The sequence below is a fragment of the Homo sapiens genome, chromosome 3, assembly GCF_000001405.40.
Source record: "Homo sapiens chromosome 3, GRCh38.p14 Primary Assembly".
Classification (NCBI taxonomy): Eukaryota; Metazoa; Chordata; class Mammalia; order Primates; family Hominidae; genus Homo; species Homo sapiens.
The window spans coordinates 10,208,647-10,226,175 of NC_000003.12; the positions used below are offsets into that span (position 1 = coordinate 10,208,647).

Below are 17,529 nucleotides of genomic sequence, written 5' to 3' on the forward strand. Positions count from 1 at the left end.
CAGCTACTCGGGAGGCTGAGGCAGGAGAATGGTGTGAACCCGGGAGGCGGAGCTTGCAGTGAGCCGAGATTGTGCCACTGCACTCCAGCCTGGGCAACAGAGGGAGACTCCATCTCAAAAAAAAAAAAGAAAAAAAATCTTTTGTAGAAACGGGATCTTGTCATGTTGCCCAAGCTGATCTCAAACTCCTGGGCTGAAGCAATCCTCCTGCCTCAGCCTCCCAAAGTGCTGGTATTACAGATGTGAAGTATTTAGAACAGTGCCTGGCATGATGTTTGCTAACTCATGTACCTAGATGTTAACTTACTCCAGCCCCGGGCCCTTCTACTGCCCCACCTCTGCATGGGCTGGTTCCACTGCCCCATATCTGCTTGTTGAAAACGTTTCTCCATATTTCAAGCCCAGGTCAGGTGCCACTTCCTCTGTGAACCCTCCTCATCTCCCAGCCTGTTATGGTCTCTCCTGCCTCTGACCTCGCTCTCCCGTGGGATGTATCCTCGGAGGATAGTTACTGCATCCCTGCCCTGGTGGAGGTTTCTGGAAGGCAGGCTTGGTAGCTAGTTCACCTCTGTGTCTTTTTCTGCTCTTTGAGTAGGAGGTGAGATAGTGCAGGGCCTAGAAGTCAAACAGATTTCCGTCTGAATTTCGGCTCTACCATCTACTGGCTGGGTGGTCCTGAGCACTGCGTCTACCTCCGGTGTCTCCGTGTCTCCACTTGCCAACTGGGATGATAAACAGGCCCCAGGTTGTAGGGGAGTCAGAGGCTTATCCTGAGGTGATGCTTGAGGAGTGTGTTGGTTGGCACATGGTGGGTGTCAGGAATTGGCAGCAACAAGTGTTTGGGGAGTGAACAGGAGACTGGCATAGTCTGAGGACTAGACCAGGATCCCTCCTGTCTTCCTCCCCGAGGCTGCATCCTGACCCATAGTCCCTCCTTTCCAGGGTCCTCTCCAGCCAGAGCCCACCAGCCGGCCTTTCTCCAGCCTCCTGAAGAAGATGCCCCTCATTCCTTGAGAAGCGACCTCCCCACTTCGTCTGATTCAAAGGTAAATCCACCCCTCGGCTGCAGCCCCCAAGCCATGTCTCCCAGCGTGTAGTTCCCTCTCAAAAATGCAATTTCTCTACCCCTTGAGACCAGTTTAAGGGTGGAGAGGAGAAAGGAAATTGCCATCAAATTACCCCAAGCTTCTAAGACTGTAAGTAGAGGAGGTCAATAATAGCGGGGAGAGGGAGGGAGGGCACTTCAGTGAATATACTTCTTGTTTTTTAATTTGTTATTATTATTATTTTTGAGACAGAGTCTCGCTCTGCCACCCAGGCTGGAGTGCAGTGGCACGATCTCGGGTCACTGCAACCTCCGCTTCCCGGGTTCAAGTGATTCTCCTGCCTCAGCCTCCCAAGTAGCTGGGATTACAGGTGCATGTCACCATGCTCGGCTAATTTTTTGTATTTTTAGTAGAGACGGGGTCTCACCATGTTGGCCAGCTTGGTCTCGAACTCCTGACGTCAGGTGATCCACCTGCCTCCGCCTCCCAAAGTGCTTGGATTACAGGCATGAGCCACTGCACCCGGCCATTATTTTCTTTTATTATTTTATTTTATTTTCGACCTGTGGTCTCAGCTACTTGGGAGGCTGAGGCGGGAGGATGGCTTCAGCCCAGGAGGCAGAAGTTGCAGTGAGCTGTGATCCTACCACCACATTCCACCCTGGGTGACAGAGTGAGACCCTGTCTCCAAAAATGTATGACCATATTGGTACGAAGATAAATAAAATCCAAGCAGGATTAAAAATGAGGACATTTCTTTGACTCTAAAAGTCCATTTATTTTCTTCTGATTTTAAAATAAATTAAAATGTTCTGATGGCCCCTAAAAGTGTTGTGAGCCTAGACCCTTTGCATCCAGTGCCTGGGGGAGAAGCCAGCTTTGCATGAGTGTGGTTAATGAAGCTCTTCCATGTCCCAGGTGTGGTGTCACATGCCTGTAGTCCTGGCTATTTGGGAGGCTGAGGTGGGAGGATCGCTTGAGCCCAGGAGTTGGAGACCAGCCTAGGCAACACAGGGAGGCCCCATCTCTAAATTAATAAATAGATCAACCTTCCATGAAGGATAAACCCAACACTTTGGGAGGTTGGTATGGGAGGTTCACTTGAGCCCAGTACTTTGAGACCAACCTGGGCAACAGTGTGAGATCCTGTGTCTACAAAAAAGTTTTTTTTGTTTTTGTGTTTTTTTTGAGGAGTCTCGCTCCATTGCCCAGGCTGGAGTGCAGTGGCACGATCTTGGTCACTGTAACCTCTGCCTCCCAGGTTCAAGCTATTCTCCTGCCTCAGCCTCCTGAGTAGCTGGGATTACATGCACATGCCAGCATGTTTGGCTAATTTTTTTTTGTATTTTTAGTGGAGACAGGGTTTCGCCATGTTGGCCAGGCTGGTCTTGAACTCCTGGCCTCATGTGATCCGCCCACCTCAGCATCCCAAAGTGCTGGGATTACAGGCATGAGCCACCGTGCCTGGCCAAAAAGTTTTTTTGAGACAAAGTCTCCCTCTGTTGCCCAGGCTGTCTCGACTCACTGAAACCTCTGGTTCCCCAGTTTAAGCGATTCTCCTGCCTCAGCCTCCTGAGTATCCGGGATTATAGGTGTGTGCCACCACGCCTGGCTAATTTTTGTATTTTTAGTAGAGACACGGTTTCACCATATTGCCCAGGCTGGTCTTGAACTCCTGGCCTCAGAGGATCCGCCTGCCTTGGCCTCCCACATATGGTGAGATTACAAGCAGTGAATCACTGTGCCTGGCCTCGCCAAAAAAAAAAGTTTAAAAAATAAGCCAGGCGTGGTGGCACACACCTGTAGTCCCAGCTACTTGGGGGCGCTGAGATGAAAGGATCCCTTGAGCCTGGGAGGTTGAGGCTGCGGTGAGCTGACATCATGCCATTGCACTCCAGCCTTGGTGTCAAAGTGAGACCCTGTCTCAAAAAGAAATCAAAACTATGTGTGTGGCATGATACCAGTTTTGTTAAATAAATCCTAGTATATCTAATTGGCCGGAAATACACTAACTTTAATAGCAGTTAAATGGATAATGGGGTTATGGATACTAATTTTCAAAAACTGTTAAGAGCATATGTAACTTAAAAAAATTGAAATTTAGGCCGGGCGCGGTGGCTCGTGCCTGTAATCCCAGCACTTTGGGAGGCCAAGTCGGGCGGATCACGAGGTCAGGAGATGGAGACCATCCTGGCTAACACGGTGAGGCCTCATCTCTACTAAAAAAATTACAAAAAATTAGCCGGACAGGGTGGTGGGTGCCTGTAGTCCCAGCTGCTCGGGAGACTGAGGAAGGAGAATGGCGTGAACCTGGGAGGCGGAGCTTGCAGTGAGCCGAGATCACACCACTGCACTCCAGCCTGGGTGACAGTACGAGACTCTGTCTCAAAAAAAAAAAAAAAATTACGTACATGTGTTTTAAAGAGAGAAGTTATTAAAAACGGAAACAGAACTTCTTTTTATAGGCTTATATACACATGCAGTCTCTGGAATTCTGTTTAAAGCAAGCTTGTCTTACTTGCCCATGGTTGTGTGCAGCCCAGGATGGCTTTGAATGTGGCCCAACACAAATTTGTAAAGTTTCTTAAAACATTATGAGTTTTTTTTGCAATTTTTTTTTTAAAGCTCATCAGCTATCATTAGTATTAGTGTATTTTATGTGTGGCCCAAGACAATTCTTCTTCCAGTGTGGTCCAGGGAAGTCAAAAATTGGACACCCCTGGTTTGGTTATATGAACCTGTATCCTACTTCCCAGGAGTCTGGAACCCCAGTATCTATGCTGTGAATTAGACCAAGAGTGCTGAGCTCGGCCACTGACCAGCTGTGGGACCTCACTTCAGCTGTTTTATTTCCTCAGTGCTTACTTCTGTAAACTGAAATAAAGGAAACATCAACCATGTGCCAGGAATACTCACATCTTAGTCTTCAAAATTACTCTTCGGGGTACTATTGTTACCTTCATTTTTGCTGATGGAAAAAATTGAGGCTCAGAGAGGTTAAGTAACTCACCCAAGGTCACAGAGCAAGATACAGATGGAGCTGGGATTTGAGCTTGGGCCTATCCATGTCCTTTTTTTTTTTTTTTTTTTGAGACAGAGTCTCGCTCTGTCACCCAGGCTGGAGTGCAGTGGCGCGATCTCGGCTCACTGCAAGCTCCGCCTCCTGGGTTCACCCCATTCTCCTGCCTCAGCCTCCCGAGTAGCTGGGACTACAGGCGCCCGCCACCACGCCTGGATAATTTTTTTTTGTATTTTTTAGTAGAGACGGGGTTTCACTGTGTTAGCCAGGATGGTCTTGATCTCCTGACCTCGTGATCCGCCCGCCTCGGCCTCCCAAAGTGCTGGGATTACAGGCGTGAGCCACCGTGCCCGGCCTATCCATGTCCTTTTTACAGTTTCCATTGGATAAGTTGATCCCCTCCATCCCTCCATCTCTGGTGTTCCAAGGTCCCTTGAGGTAGCAGAGAAAACGAGATTCCATAGTAATCTCCATCTCTTCTCTCTGGGTCTCCAGGACTTCAGCACCTCCATTCCTAAGCAGGAAAAACTTTTGAGCTTGGCTGGAGACAGCCTTTTCTGGAGTGAGGCAGACGTGGTCCAGGCAACCGATGACTTCAATCAAAACCGCAAAATCAGCCAGGGGACCTTTGCTGACGTCTACAGAGGGCACAGGCACGGGAAGCCATTCGTCTTCAAGAAGCTCAGAGAGGTGAGCACTTCTTGGTTTCTAGTGGGGGTGGAGGCTGCAGGGGTGGGGCGGGATCTTCATGTTCTGATGTCTTTCTCTACAGACAGCCTGTTCAAGTCCAGGATCAATCGAAAGATTCTTCCAGGCAGAGTTGCAGATTTGTCTTAGGTAAGCCTCCCCTTTGTTTAGTAATAATGATAGCTAACCTTTATATAGTGCTTCCTGTGTGCCCAGTCATGTTTTAAGCACTCTATTATATATAAACTCATTTAGTCCTTACAAGAACCCTATAAATGTAGCTACTATTATCACATTATTTTACAGATGGGTAAATTGAGGCACAGAGGGGTTAAATGTCTCATCCAAGGTCACACAGCTAATGAGTGGCAGAGCCAGGATTTGGATCTACCTGGTTTGGCTCCAGAGTCCATTCTTCTCCTGTGTAGCAATTCTATGTGTAGATTAGAATTATAAAGGAAACTTGGCTTACTCCAACTCCTTCCTTCCACATGGGAATAAATCTTCTCTCCTTTTTTTTTTTCTTTTCTTTTCTTTTTTTGTTTTTTGAGACAGAGTCTTGCTCTGTCTCCCAGGCTGGAGTGCAGTGGCGTGATCTCGGCTCACTGCAATCTCTGCCTACCAGGTTCAGGTGATTCTCGTGCCTTAGCCTCCCGAGTAGCTGGGATTACAGGCGTGCGCCACCAGGCCCGGCTAATTTTCATATTTTTAGTAGAGACGGGGTTTTGACATGTTGGCCAGGATGGTCTCAAATTCCTGACCTCAAGTGATCTTTCTGCTTTGGCTTCCTAAAGTGCTGGGATTACAGGCGTGAGCCACCGTGCCTGACTTTTTTTTCTTTTTTAAGAGCTAGGGTCTTGCTCTATTGCCCAGGCTGGAATGGCCTTGGAATGATTGTAGATCACTGCAGCTTTGAACTCATGGGCTGGTGATCCTCCCACCTCAGCCTCTGAGAAGCTGGGACTACAGGTGTGCGCCCAGCTCATTTTTTGCTTTTTTTTTTTTTTTTTTTTGTAGAGATAGGGTCTTGCTATGTTGACCAGGCTGGTGTTGAGCTCCCGGGCTCAAGTGATCCTCCTGCCTTGACCTCCCAAGATGTTGGGATTATAGGTGTGAGCCACTGTGCCCTGCCATGTGTGTGCTTTTTTTTTTTTTAATTATTTTTCATCTGAAACACTTGTGCCTTATATTGTAGGGTATTTTAAGAAATAAAGAAAATTGAGTATCTGTTCATTCTGTAACCAGTGTTAAAAAATAAAGAAAATTGACCAGGTATGGTGGTTTATGCCTGTAATCCTAGAACTTTGATGCTGAGGCAAGAGGATTCCTTGAGCCAAGGAGTTTGAGACCAGCTTGGGCAACATAGCGAGACCCTGTCTCAACTGAAAAAAATATATATACAAAAACTTTTTTTGGCTGGGCATGGTGGCTCGCACCTATAATCCCAGCACTTTGGGAGGCTGAGGCGAGTGGATCACTTAAGTCCAGGAGTTCAAGATCAGCTGGGCAACATGGCAAAACCCCGTCTCTACAAAAAATACAAAAATTAGCTGGGTGTGGTGGTGTATGCCTGCAGTCCCAGCTACTCAGGAGGCTGATGGGAGGATCACTTGAGCCCAGGAGGCAGAAGTTGCAGTGAGCCGAGATCATGACACTACACTCCAGCCGGGGCAACAAAGTGAGTCTCTGTCTCAAAAATAAATAAAGGCCAGGCATGGTGGCTCACACCTGTAATGCCAGCACTTTGGGAGGCCGAGGTGGGCAGATCAGTTGAGGTCAGGAGTTTGAGACCAGCCTGGCCAACATGGCGAAACCTCATCTCTACTAAAAAAAATTCATACAAAAATCAGCCTGGTGTGTTGGCATGCACCTGTAGTCCCAGCTACTCAGGAGGCTGAGGCATGAGAATCACTTGAGCCCAGAAAGTGGAGGTTGCAGTGAGCCCAGATCGCACCACTGCACTCCAGCCTGGGCAATAGAGTGAGACTCTGTCTCAAAAAAAAAAAAAAAAAAAAATTAATTAATTAATTAAAAAGTAAAACAAATTTAAAAAGGAATAAAGAAAATTATAAATAAGAAAATAGAAACTTTTTCACAGCACCTATAAATAAGCACTACTGTTTTAATATTTTGATATATTTTCATTTTTAATTGTTAAAACTTTTTTTGTAGAGACACGATCTCACTATGTTGCCCAGGTTGGTTTTGAACTCCCTGGCTCAAGTGATCCTCCTGCTTTGGCCTCCAAAAGTGTTGGGATTTTAGATGTGAGCCACTGTGCTGGGCCCATATTTTGATATGTTTTCTTTAATGCTTTCTCTATTCATACATGTATATGAATACTCACATGTGTACACACACACACACACACACACAGATACACACACACACATACATCTAATAAAAACTGGAAGTATGATTCCCTTTCCACTTTGGCTTAGTGCTTTCATGGAGTCGGCAGTCACTCCTTCATTCATTGATTCAGAAAATGTGGGTAGTTAAGCCCTTTTCTAGGCTCTAGGGAGTGTACGCCAGAAGCATACAGAGCCCCTGCCTTGGGGAGGTTTATGGTCCAGTGGGGAGACTGACATGTAAATAACTCTAATAAGTATGCAAAAGCGAGTAATAGGATGGCTTGCGGGAAGCAGAGGAGGGCGGAGAGATAAGGCAGGAGGCCATTTACAGCAGTCTTGGGGAGGCTGAATCAGAGCCTGACCCAATCCAAGTGACCCAAGGCAGAGGAGAGGGGAATGAAGGGACATTTTAAAAGTTATTTGTGGCAGTGAATGGTGACTGATTTGATACGGGAGATAAGAAGGTTTCTAGGAAACTGGGTGGGTGGTGATGTGCCTTTCTGGGATAATAAATATGGGTGAAGAAGCAGGTTTGGGACTTGTTGAGGCTAGGATGATGTTGACCTGAGCATCAGGATGCAAATTGACATTCAGGTCTGGAGCTTAGGATGGGGCTGGAGATAAGAGATTTGGGAATATTCCTTATAGCAATGGGAGGTTCCTGGAGGAGCAACATACAAAACAAGATGAGGAGTCCAGCTGGCAGAAAGAGGAAGGCAAAGGAGGAGGGTCTTAGTGAAAAGGGCCAGGAAAGAGTGGTCAGAGAGGTAGGAGGAAAGTCAGGAGGGAATGGTGACTGAGAACCAGCAGAAGAGGATTTCAGGAAAGAACCCCAGTCCTAGAGTCAGGCAGGTGTGGGATCTGGTCCTGGCTTTACTGCTTTCTAGTTTGTGACCTTGGGCAAGTCCCTTAACCTCTCAGTCTCCGTTTCTGGAGATGGGGCAGTTGAGATGTCATGTGTTGCAGAGCAGTAAAGCAGGATGAGGACCACCATACTCGTTGAAGGCAGACAGTTTTCATCTTTCCACCCTGGGGCCAGGCCCTTAGGGGTCAGAGTATGTGGTACCTGGGAGGTTATTGGTGGCGTTGGAGGAGGAGAGGGCAGAAGAGGGGTGGGACATGAGGAAGTAGATCATTCTTTCCGTCTGACTCCTCACACCTGCACTGACGCCCGATTCCAGATGCTGCCACCCCAATGTCTTACCTGTGCTGGGCTTCTGTGCTGCAAGACAGTTTCACAGCTTCATCTACCCCTACATGGCAAATGGTTCCCTACAGGACAGACTGCAGGGTCAGGTAAGGGACTGGGTCATGGTCAGAGAATGGGACCAGGCTGCACCCAGCCATGGGGTCAAGGGTTAAGGACTTACAGAAGTTCAGAGGGGAGAGGGGCCATCTAGGTGAGACCAGGGAGACTTCAAGGAGAGAAGTGGGGCCAGGATACATAAGATCTGGTTAAGTGCTCACTTTGGCAGCACATATACCAAAATTGGAACGATACAGAGAAGATCAGCATGGCCTCTGAATGAGGATGACAAAATATGAAAAAGAAAAAGAAAAGCTCAAAAAGATCTGATTAAACATCTTCAGGAAAAATCTATAAAAAATTATTTGACGAGAAGCATTTCATTCAAATCAAGAGCAGGACAAAGGTATCTCATAGAACTAACTTCGTTCGTCATGGTTCTGGAGGTGTTAGCCAATGCAGTAGGACAAGAAAAAGAATTAAGAGGTAAAGAGTATGGAAAAGTGGAGGTGAATTTTTATTATAAAATGTTCTTCTAATATATACCTATTTGCTTGTGTGTTTATGGAATGTCTCTGGAAAGATACACAAGAAACTGGTTTACTGGCTGCTGCTAGGGAGCAGAACTAGGTGATTGGGGCCTAGGATAAGAAGCAAACTTACTATTAGAGTATTATATCATGTGAAGGTAATCCTTAATAAAAATTACAGTGTTTTAAAACAGGTCTTCTGCTTATCTTATCCTCAAATAGAGGGGAAAGAGTTATTCCATAACAGAATTATTGCTTCCCATGGCAGGGACAAGACAAAGCAGTTACTCACGGCATACTAATGATCTTTAGCTTTTCTGGGCACTCACTGTATGCAGGTTGCTGTGATAAGGGTTTTACGTAGGTCATCACCTCCAGGCCGTGCCACAACCAAAGCAATTTCTTCCCTCATTTTTCAAAAGAGGAATCTCTGACACATAGAGACAAAGTGACTTGCCCAAAGGAACATAGAGGACAAATGTCAGGCCAGAGCTTACATTGGGTTCGTCTGGCTCTAGGTTTCAGAGTTTTTGAGAAGAAATTAGCAGGGGCTGTCCAGGCCAGTTCTTAGAGGATGTGGGACCTACACCAGGGCTTCAAAAATAGGTGATGAGGCTGGGCACAGTGGCTCACGCCTGTAATCCCAGTACATTGGGAAGCCGAGGTGGGTGGATCACTTGAGGTCAGGAGTTTGACACCAGCCTGACCAATATGGTGAAACCCTGTCTCTACTAAAAATATAAGAATTAGCCAGGCGTGGTGGCGTGTGCCTGTAGTACCAGCTACTGAGGAGGCTGAGACAGGAGAATCACTTGAACCCGGGAGGCAGAGGTTGCGGTGAGCCGAGATTGCACCACTGCACTCCAGCCTGGGCGACAAAGTGAGACTCCGTCTCAAAAAAAAAAAAAAAAAAAAAACCAAAACGGTGATGATTTAGCCTGGGAGAGTCAGTCTTAGAACAACAGTGGGAGCAAATGAGAGGCTTTAGCCCATCCCACAATCCCCATCAGCCCTGGTGAAGTTTCCCCTAATACAGATAAAATCAGCGTAAGGCCCAGGTGCTTGGCTTGCAAACACAAGCTCCCTAGCTCCTCTCCCATCCAGCTTCTTTTAGAGAGAAATTCCAGAGCAGCCTCTGTAATGGACATGATAAAAATAACTGCTGATTGAGCACCTACTGTGTGGCAGGTGCTATGCTAGGGGTATACCATATACTCCCTTGAATCCTTACAGCAACCCTAAAATATAGGGATTAACATTTCCATTTTATACCCAAGGAAACTGAGGCTCAGAGATGTTAAGTGTCTTTTTCCAAAATTATACAGCTAATGCATGTCTGAACTGGGAGTTACACCTAGATCTGTCTGATGTCAAAACCCATAGTACAGGGTCAGGCACATGGCTCATGCCTGTAATTCCAGCACTTTGGGAGAGCGAGGTGGACGGATCGCTTGAGCCCAGGAGTTCGAGACCAGCCTGGCCAACATGGCAAAACCCTGTCTCCACGAAAAATACAAAAATTAGTTGAGAGTGGTGGCACGTGCCTGTGATCCCAGCTATTCGGGAGTCTGAGGCGGGAGAGTCACTTCAGCCTGGGATTTTAAGGCTACAGTGAGCTATGATGCTGCACTCCAGTCTGGGTGACAGAGCAAGACCTGTCTCAAAACCAGCAAACACAAAACAATGAAAAAACTCACAGTATCATGCTGAGCCCTGTGACAGAGGACATGAAGGGTGGGAGGAGGATCAGGAGCCTGGGACCCTGCCATCAGGACTTCGTTTTTTTGTTTTTGTTTTTGTTTTTTTTTGAGATGGAGTCTCGCTCTGTCACCCAGGCTGCAGTGCAGTGGTGCAATCTCGGCTTACTGCAAGCTCTGCCTCCTGGGTTCACGCCATTCTCCTGCCTCAGCCTCCCAAATAGCTGGGACTACAGGCAGCCGCCACCAGGACCGGCTAATTTTTTGTATTTTTAGTAGAGATGGGGTTTCACCGTGTTAGCCAGGATGGTCTCGATCTCCTGAACTAGTGATCTGCCTGCCTGGGCCTCCCAGTGTGCTGGGATTACAGGTGTGAGCCACCGCACCTGGCTGCCATCAGGACTTTAAAAAGGTACATTGTGACTATTTGTCCTCCTGCTTTTCTTTCTCTTAGGGTGGCTCGGACCCCCTCCCCTGGCCCCAGCGTGTCAGCATCTGCTCAGGGCTGCTCTGTGCCGTCGAGTACCTGCATGGTCTGGAGATCATCCACAGCAACGTCAAGAGGTGAGAGAGGTGGGCTGGACCCTGCTGGGGCCTGGGCTGCAAGGGTGGAACTGGTGCCTATTCCTGGCTCACCTCCCGCTCCGCCACTCACCCCTGTCCTCTTTGTTTTTCTCTTCCTACCTCCTCTCCTCTGCCCTCCCCTGGATGTCTTTTTCTCTGTTATGCCCTCAAAAATGAGTGTTTCCGGGCTGTGCTCCAAGTCCAATTGCTCTCAGGATGAATTGCCTACCTGTCACATTTGTCTTTCTGAGCTGCTGTTTTCCCAACAAGCCCTCCACACCTTGCTGCGTCGCACTGTCCACTCAGCAGCTGGCCTGGACCTCATCCTCGAACTTTGGGCCATGTCTGCCAACCCCCTGGGATTTTGAGCTCCTCGTTCAGTGTCTTTTCTGAGACCTGTCCCCTTCTTGTGTAGCTGTTGGTGTTAGCATCTTGTCTGGAAGGCTCCTGCAGGTTAGGCCTGCACCCCTGCATGTCAGTGCCATGCACATGAGAGGGAGAGGTCCCCATCTGGAGACGGTTAGGATAGGGAGGGATTCCGAAGATACCAGAATATCTGGCAGAACTGGCTCCAGAGACACAGAACTCGTATTTCCCCAAAGTTCTCTTTCCATTTGACTTGTGGAAGTCCTTTCCTCTTTTCTCTCCCCCAATTTTTTTTTTGTTTTTTGAGACGGAGTTTCACGCTTGTCACCCAGGCTGAAATGCAGTGGTGCGATCTCAGCTCACTGCAACCTCCACCTCCCTGGTTCAAGCGATTCTCCTGCCTTAGCCTCCTGAGTAGCTGGGATTACAGGTGCTCGCCACCACACCCAGCTAATTTTTGTATTTTTAGTAGATAGGCTTTCACCATGTTGGCCAGGCTAGTGTCGAACTCCTGACCTCAGGTGATCCACCCGCCTTGGTCTCCTATAGTGCTGGGATTACAGGTGAGAGCCACCACCCCGGCTCTCTCCCCTAATTTTTATTTGATTGCATCAATAATTCTAATAGCAGGCAAGGAAATGAAAGGGTGAGAGAGGTCACCACTAACCTACCCCATGACTCATCAGCTGGCCTCTAGGTTTTGTTTCTTTTTTCACTTCCTGCCTATACAAATCCTTAGTCCTGAGGTAGCACCTGGGTACCAATTCACATCCTGTTTTTTACCCCTTCATTTAAACATAGTAAACATTTCGCTACATTGTATACCGTCATGTTTTTTAGTGTCTTAGTCTTCCCGTGAAGGAATTTGCCCATAATTTACTTAACCACTCCTGGCACACACACCCGTGCATTTGCGGGCGTGCACACACACACACGCTAAAAAAGTTTTTTTTTTGGCCGGGCGCGGTGGCTCACGCCTGTAATCCCAGCACTTTGGGTGGCCAAGGCGGGCAGATCACGAGGTCAAGAGATCGAGACCATCCTGGCTAACACGGTGAAACCTCGTCTCTACTAAAAATACCAAAAAAAAAAATTTTTTTTTTTTTTTTTTTTTTTGAGATGGAGTCGCGCTCTGTGGCCCAGGCTGGAGTGCAGTGGCACAATCTCTGTTCACTGCAAGCTCCGCCTCCCAGGTTCACGCCATTCTCCTGCCTCAGCCTCCAGAGTAGCTGGGACTACAGGCGCCTGCCACCATGCCCGGCTAACTTTTTGTATTTTTAGTAGAGATAGGGTTTCACTGTGTTAGCCATGATGGTCTCGATCTCCTGACCTCGTGATCCACCCACCTTGGCCTCCCAAAGTGCTGGGATTACAGGTGTGAGCCACCGCGCCTGGCCAAAAAAAATTTTTTTTTGAGACAGGGCCTTGCTCTTTTGCCCAGGCTGGAGTACAGTGGCGCAATCTCAGCTCACCGCAGCTTCCCACCTTAGCCTCCCAAGTAGCTGGGACCACAGGCACGCACCACCATGCCGTGCTGAATTTGTTTGTTTTAGTAGAGATGAGGTCTTGCCATGCTGCCCATGCTGGTCTCAAACTCCTGGGCTCAGGTGATCCTCCTGTCTCGGCCTCACAAAGTGTTGGGATTACAGGCATGAGTCACTGCACCTGGCCTGCACTATATATCTGTACACATGTGGCTTAGCTTTTTCCCATTTTGGAGTATGTTCTCAGTGTTTGCTCCTGGGGGTTAGATGACTAGATCAAATGATTTTTTTTGAGACAGTGTACCACTCTGTTGCCCAGGCTGGAGTGCACCTCTGCTTCCGGGTTCAAGCAATTCTCCTGCCTCAGCCTCCTGAGTAGCTGGGACTACAGGCGCACACCACCACGGCTGGTTAATTTTTGTATTTTTAGTAGAGATGGAGTTTCGGCATGCTGGCCAGGCTGGTCTTGAACTCCTGACCTCAGGTGATCTGCCCATCTCGGCCTCCCAAAGTGCTGGGATTACAGGCGTGAGCCACTGTGCCCGGCCAAGAGGGAATTTTTTTTTCTTTCTTTTTTTACATGATCTGGGCAGGTTTAGTCACAAAGGATGCTGGCCACTTAGACCTGAGTCAGCCAGGCCAGAGCTGGGGGTTGGAACAGTTGTGGAAGAGACTGAGTCTGCACAGCCTGTAGGCGTGGCAAGCTGAGGCTGATCAGGGTTGGCATCTGTGGGGATCAGGGAGGCTGCACTTTGGCCACATTCCTGGGGCAGCAAGACTAAGTCTGAACTCCATCTCCATTTGCTGGAGGGAGTGTGCTCCTGATGCCCTCTCTTCCCCAGTCAGGGCTGGCTCAGAAGCTCCATGCTGAGGGTCTTTAGAGACCTCAACTTGCAGGAGGTGAGGTTGCTATATTGTCTCCCCAAAGGGTCTCCATGGCAACTTGTTGTTATCCAGCTCAAAATGAGAAGGTTCCCTCTCCTTTCATTTCCACAGCTCTAATGTCTTGCTGGACCAAAATCTCACCCCCAAACTTGCTCACCCAATGGCTCATCTGTGTCCTGTCAACAAAAGGTCAAAATACACCATGATGAAGACTCACCTGCTCCGGACGTCAGCCGCGTATCTGCCAGAGGATTTCATCCGGGTGGGGCAGCTGACAAAGCGAGTGGACATCTTCAGCTGTGGAATAGTAAGAGTGTCCTGCTCTGCGTAGAGTGGGGCCCACCTTGATTTGTCCTTCCCACGGCTCCTTTGTAATCACAGGATACGGTAGAGGCACACAGACAGGTTCCATCAAAGTACAACAGGGGCTGACAAACTGTGGCCCACAGGCCACTTTGGCCTGTGGCGTATTTTGTATGGTCTGTGAGCTAAGGGTAGTTTTACATTTATAAAGGATTATATTTTTAAACACAAAGAATATGTGATAGAGACTGAACATGCTCCCCAAAAGCTCACATATTTACTGTGTGGCGTGTTACAGAAGAAATTTGCCAGCCCTTGAAGGAAAACCACTCATGAGTGTCCAGGTTCTAGTAGGCTCCAGATATCCTCTCCTGACTTCCGTAATTCCCATCCAGCCATCCACTTGTCCATCCAGTTGTCTATTTGTCCTTATTTGTTCATCGCTGTCCGATCATCCATCTACCCTTTAGCTGCCCATCCATTCAGCGACCACTGACCCACCCAGCATCCCACCCTACCACCACCACCATCCTTGTCTGCCATTATGTCGTGCCAGGCACTAGGAATATGAATGTAACAAAAACACAGTCCCTCCCCTCAGGAGCTCATGGTCTGCATGTAGCAGTCTCCAAAGTATATTTCTGTAGAACTCCAGTTCCTTCGGACCTCTAGGATTGATGTGTTAAAAGGGTTTGTGCCCTGACAGGCTTGGAAATATTGCATTAGGCAAAGTCAAGCAGGTTTCTTTACCACAAGATTAATTCAAGCTGGTTGAATGGTAGTGAGCCTTTAATCTGGTACTTGTGAATTCACCAGAGAGGGGTATGCAGTGTTTCCCAAGCTCATTTGACTATGGAACCTTGTGTTCTCAGAATATCTGTCCTTGTCAGTGTTCCATGGAACCCAGTCTGGGAAATGCTGGCTGAGAAGAGTAACAGTCAGGTTGGCTTCAGCCAAGTGCATACAGCTGCCCCTTGGGCCTCACCCTCTTTTCTTCTCTAGCCTTGAACTCTGTACTTCCTCTCTCTGACCACAGTCTCCTGTCTGTCTACCTCTGCTACCAGAACCGTGGCCCTGAGTCACCTCTGCCCTCAGCCAGAACCCCAGATTCTGCACCTCCGTGTCTCCCAGCTGGTTCCTCTGCCTCCCTCAGCCCCACTGCAAGTTGTTCAGTGAAGCTCAGCAGGGCTAGTCCAGGCTCCTTCTCCTTTAAGAACCAGGGGGATGGGCAGGGAGTGGTGGCACATGCCTAAAATCTCAGTACTTTGGGAGGCCGATGTGGGCAGATCACCTGAGGTCAGGAGTTCAAGACCAACCTGGCCAACATGGTGAAACCCCGGCTCTACTAAAAATACAAAAATTAGCTGAGTGTGGTGGCATGTGCCTGTAATCGCAGCTACCTGGGAGGCTGAGTCAGGAGAATCACTTGAACCTGGGAGGCAGAGGTTGCAGTAAGCCGAGATCGCGCCATTGCACTCCAGCCTGGGCAACAGAGCAAGATTCTGTCTCAAAAAAAAAAAAAAAGAAAAAAAAGAACCAGGGGGATAGAACCCCTAGGCCCGGCTCAGTTACTTTCAGCTGTGTGACTTACACCTAGCACTTCTGTCTCTGGGCCTCAGTTAAGCCTTCTGTAAGATGGGGCTAACGATACACATGGAGATGAATGGGATAATGTATATAAGCAGGTGAGCATGGCACCCTGCACCCTGCACCTACCAAGAATATTATGATGACTGTGGTTATTGTTATTCCCACCTTTACACCCTCCTTCTGATATCTGTTTACTCTTGACCTTCTAACTGGTGTGTTAGCGTCACAGATGACTTCCTCATCCATCCATTCACCCTCCCACCTATCCATCTATTCATCCACCCATGCACCCACCCTCCCACCCACATACCCATCCATCCATCCATCCATCCATCCATCCATCCATCCATCCATCCATCCATCTACCACCCATCCATCCATTCATTCATTGAATGCCTCCTGGCTCCTGCCACCCTTTTGCTCAGCCCTGCCTCTGGTTGACTGATAACGCTTTTGAACTTTGATTCCTCCTGTGGGGATCACAGTGCATTGCTCAGTGTTTTTTGGTGAGTGCTCAGTGACCTCTATAAAGGACTTGGCTCAGAGCCTGCTCTGTGAAAGGGGCACAGGAAGTCTTTGTTTATTCATTTCCCCTTGTTCTGTCCCTTCCTGGCAGGGACCTGTCAGGAGTCCCTTTTCAATTGGCTCCTGTCCCACTTGCAGCAGTGATGCCCTCTGCTGCCCTTTTCTGGTCACTGCCAGTCTGTTATTAATCCTGGGTGGTTTAAAACCTTTATCCTTTCCTTCCTCCAGGCTTGGAGGGATTCTTGGCTATAAATGTGACCCTATTCTGACTTGCTTTGAGAGATGCTGTGGGAGAGAGGTTCCACACTAAGTGTGGGGTCTTCACACCTTTAATATTCACAACTGCTAGTCCCCATTTAACAGATGAGGACACTGAGGCTCAGGTTTTAGTTACTTGCCTAAAGATCACCTGAGCATATAAGGAACAGAGTCAGAATTTGAACTCAGGCCTGACTGTAGAGCCCTTAGCCATCATAGCATTGTCTCTACTGAGAAACCCTGTTCAAAGCAGTTTCCTGTTTATGAAGACATATATCATGGTTTGCCAATTTTGTGGTGACTTACACGTATACAGGGTTGTGCTCCTTCTGCGAGTGGATGCGCTAATGAATAAATAATGTTAGTAAAGGCCTGTGAGTGAAACATGCTATGGATGCTGCAAGATTTGTCTAGAATAGATACCTGCCTGCATGCAGAGTCTTTCCTTCCCTGAGATTCACAGAGCAATGCCTGCTTGCCATAGCTGAAGGTTTTTTGGTGTTTTTTTTTTTTTTTGAGACGGAGTCTTGCTCTGTCGCCCAGGCTGGAGTGCAGTGGTGCGATCTCAGTTCACTGCAAGATCCACCTCCCAGGTTCACGCCATTCTCCTGCCTCAGCCTCCCAAGCACCTGGGACTACAGGCACCCGCCACCGCGCCTGGCTCATTTTTTTGTATCTTTAGTAGAGACGGGGTTTCGCTGTGTTAGCCAGGATGGTCTCGATCTCCTGACCACGTGATCCGCCCACCTCAGCCTCCCAAAGTGCTGGGATTACAGGCATGATCCACCGTGCCCAGCCAGCTGAAGGATTTTTAAATGAAACAATCTTTAAAAAATAGTGTATATATACGTGTGTGTGTATCTATATTTATCTATACCTATATATATCTTATGGTAATACATATAAACACACACACACATGAATTTTTGAAAACCATCTTCTCTGCCTGGCTATCAATTAATTACAACCTTCCAC

The 17,529-nt window shown here is 48.0% G+C and overlaps 1 protein-coding gene and 1 non-coding gene across 2 annotated transcripts in view, besides 1 other annotated feature; both read left to right on the forward strand.

Annotated features, from left to right (window-relative positions):
* IRAK2 (interleukin 1 receptor associated kinase 2) overlaps window positions 1-17,529 on the forward strand; it is a 78,827-nt gene that overhangs the window by 43,728 nt on the left and 17,570 nt on the right. Inside the window, exons 4-9 of the mRNA NM_001570.4 lie at window positions 943-1,046; window positions 4,561-4,755; window positions 4,838-4,902; window positions 8,288-8,402; window positions 11,034-11,143; window positions 13,990-14,185. Coding sequence (NP_001561.3) covers window positions 943-1,046; window positions 4,561-4,755; window positions 4,838-4,902; window positions 8,288-8,402; window positions 11,034-11,143; window positions 13,990-14,185 — 785 coding nt within the window. The remainder of the gene's footprint in view (window positions 1-942; window positions 1,047-4,560; window positions 4,756-4,837; window positions 4,903-8,287; window positions 8,403-11,033; window positions 11,144-13,989; window positions 14,186-17,529) is intronic.
* On the forward strand, window positions 8,566-8,673 carry LOC124906338 (U6 spliceosomal RNA). The gene has a single exon (XR_007096296.1). It is a non-coding gene; the product is annotated as a U6 spliceosomal RNA (small nuclear RNA).
* Window positions 16,658-17,440: an enhancer, noted in NCBI's record as "H3K27ac-H3K4me1 hESC enhancer chr3:10266988-10267770 (GRCh37/hg19 assembly coordinates)". NCBI's record gives its function as "activates a minimal SCP1, AML or CMV promoter by ChIP-STARR-seq in primed H9 embryonic stem cells {active_cell/tissue: H9 hESC(primed)}" and the evidence as "EXISTENCE:reporter gene assay evidence [ECO:0000049][PMID:30033119]".